Below are 10549 nucleotides of genomic sequence, written 5' to 3'. Positions count from 1 at the left end.
AGTAAATCTTTTGCTCATGTGCATTAACCAATACTCTTGAAAACCAGGATTAATTTACTGTACCTTCTTAATATTCCTTTGAAATTCCTTATGGCGCACAGGTAGTGTAGAAAATAACTGCTTCACGCTGACTGTCATCCCTCTGGGGTGGGGGTAGGGGGTTTTCTGGATGATTTTCCCATAGTGATCAAACACCAGTCGAGTCCCAACCTTCGCCGATGCGTGGCAGGTAGAAATGGTGACATCGCTGTGAGAGAATACCAGGCGTGGTGTGTTCAGTGAGAGACCCGTGATGTTGAGCATTGACTACGCTTTTCTTCACTTGCTTTTCTCTCAAAACTTTCTTAAAAAGCTGATGATCCCTCTGAGATAACCAAGATCTAAACGGTTGAGGAGTCATCATAAAATCTAAGGTTTGGCATCTAAAAGACAGTGAGACAGAGAGCACTAAACATGCTTTGTTTTGATAAAAGCTTTGATTTCATTTTTCAGGTTGAATTGCAAAACCATAAATGATCTCAAGGTTTATTTATTCACAAATAGAGATTTGTTTTGTTATTACTCTTCAAATAAAATTGTTTTAAAGAATTTTTTAAAGAATTAAAAAATTTTTTAAAATTTTTAAAGAATCCAAAAGATATTATAATTAAAATGTATATGTAGGGCAGGGTGCGGTGGCTCATGCCTGTAATTCCAGCACTTTGGGAGGCCGAGGAGTGCAGATCACTTAAGGCCTGGAGTTCCAGACCAGCCTGGGCAACACGGCAAAACCCCATCTCTACTAAAAATACAAAAATTAGCCAGGAGTGGTGGTGCACGCTATAGTCCCAGCTCTTTAGGAGGTTGAGGCACGAGAATCACTTGAACCTGGGAGGCAGAGATTGCAGTGAGCTGAGACTGTGCCACTGCACTCCAGCCTGGGTGACAGAGTGAGACTCTGTCTAAAAAAAAAAAAAAAATACATATATATATATATACACACACACACATATATACACACACACATATATATGTGTATATATATACACACACACATATATATGTGTATATATATACACACACATATATACACACACACATATATATGTGTATATATATATACACATATATATGTATATATATATTTAAATATAATTATAAAAATTTAGTATATGTGCTATAATTAAATAGTGCTTTGGTGAAATGTTTCCCTAAAATTTGATGATGAAAAGTAATGGTAACTATCATTTATTACCTATATGTTATGTTAAAATTGAGAAGTTACTGTTCTAATAAGGGTAACCATTTTTTTTTAACAATACTATTTGCTTCATTTCATTCATTTATTTCCCACATTTCAGAAGTACTAGGACTTAGATTGGCAGTGAGACAAAACAGAATTCAGAAGCTAGAAGCTGAGATACCGAGATAGAAAATTGTAAATAATAACAATTCCAATTAACTTTCTGAGAGGTGTTTCTAAGGGGTCAAGTGAATGGATAAAAACATTGTATCACCTCAGTGCACACAGTGAGCTCAGAGCTTCCCCCTGAAAGCCGAAAGTTTCAACCTCAGTTAGGTCGGCAAACTCTTGAATCTTACATGTGTGATGTTTCAGAGCTGAAAGAGACTGTAAAGTAAGGAATAAGATACCTCAAGTGCTAAAACAACAGATATACATGATATCTAGTAACTGGCTTAAAAAACTGTTTTTGCGTTTCCCAAGACAGTGTTACTCAAAATCCTGAGACATGTGGCCCAATTATTTTATAATAGGATTAGACAAAGTCAACTTACTTAAGCCTTCAAAGTTTTCTTCTTCTACCCCACATCCATTGTCTGAAACTTCAATGAGATCCACTCCATAGTCCTTAAGCTTTAGATCTAGAAAGTTTAAATATTTATGTATTTATTAAAAATGGACCCATGCTAGAATGGCATGAACCCGGGGGGCGGAGCTTGCAGTGAGCCGAGATCGCGCCACTGTACTCCAGCCTGGGAGACAGTGAGACTTCGTCTCAAAAAGAAAAAAAAAAAAAAATGGACCCATGCTATAAGCTTTTATATTGATATTATTTATAACATATGCAAATTGAAGAGTCATAACTATACCTTTAGTTAAACGTACGAGTATCATTTTGTATATTTCATTTTTATAAAGCCCTTTCTGGCCATTTACTAGCCCAGATTAAATAGTTTAGCTTTTTCTTTCCTCTTTTTTTTTTTGTCCATAGGCTAGTCAAATGAAGCAGTTGGAGTGGAGAAGGAACAAAAAAATCTGTAACTGGTTGTGATCAATTAGTGGTTAACACCGTTGCACTTTGACCAGCCTTTTCTTTTGAAAGAAATAATTTTAACATACCCAGTAAGGAGAAAGGGGGGCAGGCGCGGTTGTTCATGCCTGTAATCCCAGCACTTTGGGAGGCAGAGGCAGGCAGATCACTTGAGGTCAGGAGTTGGAGACCATCCTGGCCAACATGGTGAAACCCTGTCTCTACTAAAAATACAAAAAATTAGGCAGGCATCATGGTGGGCGCCTATAAACCCAGCTACTCAGGAGGCTGAGGCAGGAGAATCACTTAAAGCGGGAAGGCAGAGGTTGCAGTGAGCTGAGATTGCAGCATTGCACTCCAGCCTGGGCAACGAGCAAAAAAAAAAAAAAAAAAAAAAAAAGTGAAAGCAACATAATTTCCCATATAATTAGAAAAACCAACAGTATGCTGGAAAATACACAATGTTTAAGTCAAAATCATCTCAGAAATTGGGTACCAGTTACATAACTATTCCTTATACACAGTTGCCTTTGATACCCTACTCCAAATTGAAGCTGCCAGCTGCTGTCTTTGCAAAGACCCTCAAAGTCTTGCTGTACTAGCTTTAAGAGTTTTATAACAGTTTTACTGCCCTTTATTCCCTGCTCCAAGCCATCCTCCACTCTATCACCAGAGCTATTTTTGAAATCACAAATCTGGTCAAATAATTCTTCTGCTTAAAAATTTACTAGTGCCCCACTTCCTACTATATGAAATTTAAAATCTAGTCATCACTGGGCCCAAAACTACCTTATGTTCAGAATCTCTCTAATCCTTTCCATTCATCAAGTCCCCTACATCATCACCATTATGATAATTATTATTTATTATTATTATTTGAGAGTGCTCACCCCGTCGCCCAGGCTAGAGTGCAACGGCATGATCTCAGCTCACTGCAGCCTCTGCCTCCCAGGTTCAAGCGATTCTCCTGTCTCAGCCTCCCAAGTAGCTGGGATTACAGGCACCCACCATCACACCCGGCTAATTTTTGTGTTTTTAGTAGAGATGGGGTTTCACCATATTGGGCAGGCAGGCTTGTCTTGAACTCCTGAACTCAGGTGATCTGCCCTCCTTGGCCTCCCAAAGCACTAGGATTACAGGTGTGAGCCACTGCAACTGGCCGTCCCCTATATTGTAGCGCAGTGAACAATTGTTTCCTGAACATCACAAGCTCTTTTAGACACTACAGTGTATAAGCAGGTTTCTGTCTAAACCGCTCTCCTCTTCCTCCTCTGCCCAACCAATGTCTGCTCATCCAAAGAATGTATCCCGTGTGTTCATTAACTTAGCAATTTCCAGTAAACCGTTTAATTGATAACTTGTTAAGAGAAGGCAGGAAACCTCCATGAAAGAGAAATCAGTGGGTATTTCCTACAGCATTTAACACATCGTAGGCCTTCAATAAACCCTTGTGAAATAAACAAACCTCTTTACTCTTCGTTCTACCTTGCTAAGAATCTCACCTAAGTCTGTCTACCATGTGAAACTGCAGATGACCTCACAGAAAATTGAAAGAAGTATCTCTAAAAATAAGTTTATTAGGCAACACACTATAGGCTACAGTCCACTTCTGATTTTTTTTTTTTTTTTTTTGAGACGGAGTCTTGCTGTGTCACCCAGGCTAGACTGCAGTGGCACGATCTCAGCTCACTGCAACCTCCGCCTCCTGGGTTCCAGCGATTCTCCTGCCTCAGCCTCCCAAGTAGCTGGGATTACAGGTGCCCTGTGGGGAGGCTCCTGGCTGGTTTCCCGTAGGTAGACAGCTACACTTCCTTGCCCTTCATTGGCTTCTTTTCATGAAGCTCCTGCTGTCTACAAAACATGACCACCTGAGGTCAGGAGTTCGAGACCAGCCTGGCCAACATGTTGAAACCTCGTCTCTACTAAAAATACAAAAATCAGCTGGGCGTGTGGCGGGCGCCTGTAATCCCAGCCACTCGGGAGGCTGAGGCAGGAGAATCATTTGAACCCTGGAGGCGGAGTTTGCCGTGAGCTGAGATCGAGCCATTGCACTCGAGCCTGGGCAACAAGAGTGAAACTGTGTCTCAAAAAAACAAAAATGTTATATATATACACGTATGAAAAATATATACACACATACATATATATATACACATATGTGTGTGTATATATACACGTGTGTGTATATATATACACGTGTGTGTATATATATATACACACGTGTGTGTATATATACATACACACGTGTGTGTATATATACATATATATATACATACACACCCGTGTGTGTGTATGTATATATATATACATTTATTTATTTATTTTATTTTATTTTTCCCTGGTTGGGCACAGTGGTTCATGCCTGGAATCTCAGCGCCTTGGGAGACCGAGGCGGGAGGATTGCTTGAGCCCTGAGAGTTTGAGACCAGCGTGAGCAACATAGTTAGTTCCTTGTCTCTATTTTTTTTTTTTTTTTGAGTCGGAGTCTAGCTCTGTCGCCCAGGCTGGAATGCAGTGGCCTGATCTCGGCTCACTGCAAGCTCCGCCTCCCAGGTTCACGCCATTCTCCTGCCTCAGCCTCCCGAGTAGCTGGGACTACAGGCGCCTGCCACCACGCCCGGCTAATTTTTTTGTGTGTGTTTTTAGTAGAGACAGGGTTTCACTGTGTTAGCCAGGATGGGCTCGATCTCCTGACCTTGTGATCCACCCGCCTCAGCCTCCCAAAGTGCTGGGATTACAGGCCTGAGCCACCGCGCCCGGCCGCCTTGTCTCCAATTTTTAAATATTTTAATTAGAATACAAATTATCCATTTTTTTTTTTTTGCATATGGCTGCGTAAACATGTTAGTTCAGAGATTCTGCCCTGTGAAAAGTGAATAGCACATAAATGCTCATTTTGAGGAATTACAAAGCGAACCCCAGGGTCACCACCTCCCAGGTTGACACACATTGTCACCGCTCCATTCTTTCCACTTAAATCTCCCCCCCCAACCCCCCCCCCCAGGTCCTGATTTTTATGGTAATTATGTCCTGTTTGTGTCTGTTATTTTGTCAACTAAGTATCCCTAAACAATATAGTCTGGGTTTTTGTTTGTTTTTTTTGTTTGTTTTTTTCAGACAGAATCTCACTCTGTCACCCAGGCTGGAGTGCAGTGGCATGATCTCGGCTCACTGCAACCTCTGACTCCCGGGTTCAAGCAGTTCTCCCGCCTCAGCCTCCTGAGTAGCTGAGATTACAGGCGCCGTCCACTGCACCCGGCTAATGTTGTATTTTTAGTAGAGTCAGGGTTTCACCATGTTGGCCAGGCTGGTCTCGAACTCCTGACCTCCAGCGATCTGCCTGCCTCGACCTCCCAAAGTGCTGGGATTACAGGCGTGAGCCACCATGCCTGGCCCCTAAACAATATAGTCTTGATATTGTTGTAACCGAGCGAGTTATAGAGAAACGCCGCACCATGAGACTGATTTAGGAGTCCTTTATTGCCGGTGACTGAGAGATGGCTAGAGCTCAAAATTCTTTTGGCCCCGAAGAAGGGGCTAGATTTCTTTTTATACCGTGGTCTAAATAGGGGAGGGGGAGTTTAGCTGAAACAATTTTTACAGAAGCAGAACAGGGAAAAATTAAAAAGATTAATTGGTTACATAAATAGTTACAGAAAAATAAACAGTTCCAGGTGCAGGGGCTCAAACTACCACAAAGAGATAAATGCAGGGTCTTTTGGTATCATCCACCGAGCGAGTCCCCAAGAGCTGCTGGTTCAGCTTGCCTCGATACCTTATCAGTAAGTGCATTCCTAGACGTGCATGGAGTCAGCTTAGACTAGTTATGCCTTTAAGGGAGGGGGCTGCAAGTGAAGGAACTAAAATGGAGCCTGTCTGGCTCTCTCAGCTAAGAGAGACAATCACGTTAAAATAAGGTAGGGTATCACAATATAGGTAAGCATACAGCGTATATTTAATATGTCTGGCTTTTTTTTTCCATGTAGAGATGGGGTCTCACCACATCTCTACATAAAAGGTGGTTAACGAGATCCAAGGTGGTCTCCATCTCGTGGCCTCAAGTGATCTTGTAACCCCAGCCCCCCAAAGTGCTGGGATTACAAACATGAGCCACTGGTGCCCAGCCCTGGCTTCTTTTTTGTAGACATTATTTTAGAAGTCATTTTATTGTAACAACAGAAGTATTCATTTTCTCTGTAGTATGCTGTTCTATTTCATGACTCTCCACCATATATTTATCCCTCCTTCTTGCTCAGGGACACTGGATTGTTTTCCATTTTAACCTGCTATGAACAATTCTGCAGGGAATATTCTTTTTTTTTGTTTTTTTTGGAGACAGAGTCTCGCTCTGTTGCCCAGGTTGGAGTGCAGTGGCGTGATCTCGGCTCACTGCAACCTCCACCTCCTGGGTTCACGCCATTCTCCTGCCTCAGCCTCCAGAGTAGCTGGGACTACAGGTACCCGCCACCACGCCTGGCTAACTTTTTGTGTTTTTAGTAGAGACGGGGTTTCACTGTGTTAGCCAGGATGGTCTCTATCTCCTAACCTCATGATCCGCCCACCTCGGCCTCCCAAAGTGCTGGAATTACAGGCGTGAGCCACCGCGCCCGGTCTCTGCAGTGAATATTCTTACACAGAGGAGCAGGCATGGGGTATGTACTAATGAATGGGACTGCTGGCTCAGTGGTCCACCTGGCTTTCCACCCTACTAAATTGTTTTCCAAAGTTGTTATACTGGTTTATGCGCTCTCTCACTGCTCACCAGCAGGGTAGAATTCCTGATGTTTGCATCCTGCCTAAAGCTGGTGGGTGTAGCGTGGTATCCTAGGGTAGTTTTAGTTTGGATTTCTCCAGACTTCTCTAAGTTGAGGACCTTTTCATATTCACTGGCCGCTGTGATTGCTCTTTCGTAATGTACCTGCTCAAGTCTTTCACTCTTTTCTCATTGCAAACGTACATCCTAGGTTTCCAGCAGGAGCAACAGGCCTGTCGATTCTGACACAAGATGGGTGAATCGGTAACTTTTCTGGTTTGTTTTCCCACTGCTCATTATCCTTCTGTTTTCTTTAATGGCTTTCTGCCTAGATCAGGAGGGATGGACTTTCTTTTGAAACCCAGTAACACAACTGTTATTTCAGTACAGAGCTAAGACAGGAATAGCAGACATGGTTCAATGGTCCCTGCACCTAGAGAGTGCCGTGGAAACAGGGCCCAGTCACCCTCCAACTGCACTGCACAGTCCCATGAAACCAGAAAGACAACCCAGGTTGGAGAATGTCACCTTTCATTTAAGACCAAGTTTTGCAGGGTCTTTTTAATTTGTTTTTAAGTCTGCTACCTAACTTCCTTTGGGCTTTTATTTGTGAACTTATAACTTAGAGGACACGTAATCTCACTCTTCTAGCAATTTCTCTAGGAGATGATAACAATGTGGACAGACAAATAATTAGCAATAAAACATCTTGGCCAGGCATGGTGGCTCACATCTGTAATCCCAGCACTTTGGGAGACCAAGGCAGGAGGACCACTTGAACCTAGGAGTTCAAAACCAATCTGGGCAACATGGTGAAACCCCATCTTTACAAAAAGTACAAAACTTAGCCAGGTGTTGTAGCACGTGCCTGTAGTCCCAGCTATTCAGGAGGCTGAGGTGGTAGAATCACTTGAGCCCAGGAGGTCAGGGCTGCATTGAGCTGTGATCGTGCCACTGCACTCCAGCATGGGCAACAGAGTGAAACCCTGTCTCAAAAAAAAAAAAAAAAAACAAAAAAAAAGCAATCAAGCATCTCCAGGGTAAATGAGAGCAACATGAAGAATAAGCTGCTTATAAATACTTATAAGTTAAATTGATAAAAACAATATACCACATCATAATCTAGTCTCAGCAAGGAAAACAACAGGCCAACATTAGAAGGCACCAATGACATAAAACAGATCTTGAACATTTTGGTATTAGATCATGAAGGACTAGCTCAAGCTGCACTCAGGGCTTAAGAATCACAAGCCACGTTACACATACAGTACTTCAGACATTCTTCATTCCTGACTGAGTTTTTTTGAGACGGAGTCTCACTCTGTCGTCCAGGCTGCAGTGCAGTGTCATGATCTCGGCTCACTGCAGCTGCCGTCTCCCAGGTTCAAGCAATTCTCCTGCCTCAGCCTCCCCAGTAGCTGGTATTACAGGTGCCCACCACCACGGCCAGCAATTTTTTGTATTTTTAGTAGAGAAGGGGTTTCACCATGTTGGCCAGGCTGGTCTCAAACTCCTGACCTCAAGTGATCTGCCTGCCTTGGCCTCCCAAAGTGCCAAGATTACAGGCATGAGCCACTGCACCTGGCCCTTACTGAGCTTTGAATCCAGTAGATGCATTTTTGGCCCTATTGGAGCAGACAACCTACTGCCATTTGTGGAAATTAGCAAGCTTGTACACAAGCAATGTACAAATACAGGCTGGTTAAGAGAGATTGGAAATATGACTCAGGACTTATCATTAAGTAACAGAATATTACACAGGTAGTAGCCTTCCCTGTCACACACCTTGCTTTCAAATTTATTTTCAGTCAGCACGTAATTTTTTTTTTTTTTTGAGATGGAGTCATCCTTTCACATCCATCAGTAGAGATGGAGTTTCATCGTGTTGTCCTCTCGAACTCCTGACCTCAAGTGATCCACCTGCCTTGCCCTTCCAAAGTGCTGGGATTACAGATGTGAGCCACCATGCCCGGCCAGCACCCAATAATTTAATTGGCATACTTAACTCTGCTCCACCCGGAACAGACTTAAGACTTCTTAGACTTCTAAAGATTTTTTAAAGTCTTCTTTTTCCTTTTGGTTTCTTTAGTTTGTAGTTAAGGCTTTGCAGACTTGCCTCCTATAATGTCTCCTTTTATTTTTTATTTTTTAATTTTTATTTTTTGAGACAGAGTCTCACTCTGTCACCCTGGCTGGAGTACAGTGGTGCGATCATAGCTCACTGCAGCTTTGAACTCCTGGACTCAAGCAGTCCTCCCACCTTAGCCTCCTGAATAGCTGAATACAGGCACGTGCTACCACACCTGGCTAATTAGTATTATTTTTTTTGTAGAAATGGGATCTTGCTGTATTGCCCGGGCTGGTCTTGAACTCCTGGGTCAAGCCATCCTCCTGCCCTGGCCTCCCAAAGTGCTGGGATTATAGGCATGAGCCACGGTGCCCAGCCTTTGTCTTAGTTTTTGGTCCCCCTCACCTGACCCCACAGTTCTAGAACCATTCCCTTGCAAAGAAAGGGACTGCTCACGGCTGGGGATGGAGAAGTGCTGTGGTAGGAGCCCTTTCTTCTCTTTCTTCCCCAGCTGGATTGCCAAACCTACCCTGCGGTCCTCGTCTTCCTGGCCCCATAGCTCCTCCTCGCCAAGCATGTCTTCCCCACTGCAGAGAGCTGCGGGAGGTACCAAGAGGGCCTTGTCTGCATCTTCTAGTTCCTCTGCCAGTCTACCCTTCGATGACAGGGACTCAAACCATCCCTCAGAGGGTAAGTAGATGTTGCATTGTGCGGCCACTTCCTGTGTCCGTGGCAGCCTTCCCCCTCTCGTTTTCCCACATTGATGATAATATGCGTGGGACTGTGTGAATACACCAGAAGTGCTGTACTCGTTCAGCACAGTGACACCCTCCCTCCAGCTCCAGGTGTTTTTTTTGGGGGGTCCTAGATGTTGTAGACATCAAAATAGTAGTACATCCTGTTTTTTGTTTGTTTGTTTGTTTGTATGAGATGGAGTCTCGCCCTGTCGCCCAGGCTGGAGTGCAGTGGTGTGATCTTGGCTCACTGCAACCTCCGCCTTCCGGGTTCAAGCACATCCTGTTTTTAATCCATCATCCATCGTGTCTAAACCTCTCTTAAACACATTTCTGTGTTCAGCATGTACAACCCCTGGTGGGGGCTGGGAGGTGGCAGATGGGTGAGTAAAGAGTTCTTTACTTGTTGCCTGGTAAATTGTATAAACTTTTTATCTGGTGTCCCCTAGTTCTTCTGCTTGGGGATTTTGTAAACAGGTCTGTGTATCCTTATTTATTACCACATATGAGTTTATTCTGTATAGTTTATAATAATATATCTTGGTTTTTTAACTTTCCGGAAGGAAAAAAGCTAATGTCATACAGATCTGCTTTGTCCCCTGGCTGTTTTAATTGGCTTTCTCTGAATCATTTCTATTTCTGTCAGTGCTGCTGTGGTGTACCCGATTATATCAATGTTATAAACTTGAATTGATAAGACGTGGTTGATGTTTCACGGGGTGAAATTTAACTCTAGGTCCAT

At 43.1% G+C, this 10549-nt stretch overlaps 1 pseudogene; it reads right to left on the bottom strand.

Moving 5' to 3' along the window:
* On the bottom strand, nt 40-1864 carry PMS2P12 (PMS1 homolog 2, mismatch repair system component pseudogene 12; annotated as a pseudogene).

The sequence above is a fragment of the Homo sapiens genome, chromosome 7 (genome assembly GCF_000001405.40).
Source record: "Homo sapiens chromosome 7, GRCh38.p14 Primary Assembly".
NCBI classification, from domain to species: Eukaryota; Metazoa; Chordata; class Mammalia; order Primates; family Hominidae; genus Homo; species Homo sapiens.
The sequence above is the reverse complement of the archived record's forward strand: the minus strand, read 5'-3'. Positions and strand labels throughout refer to the sequence as shown.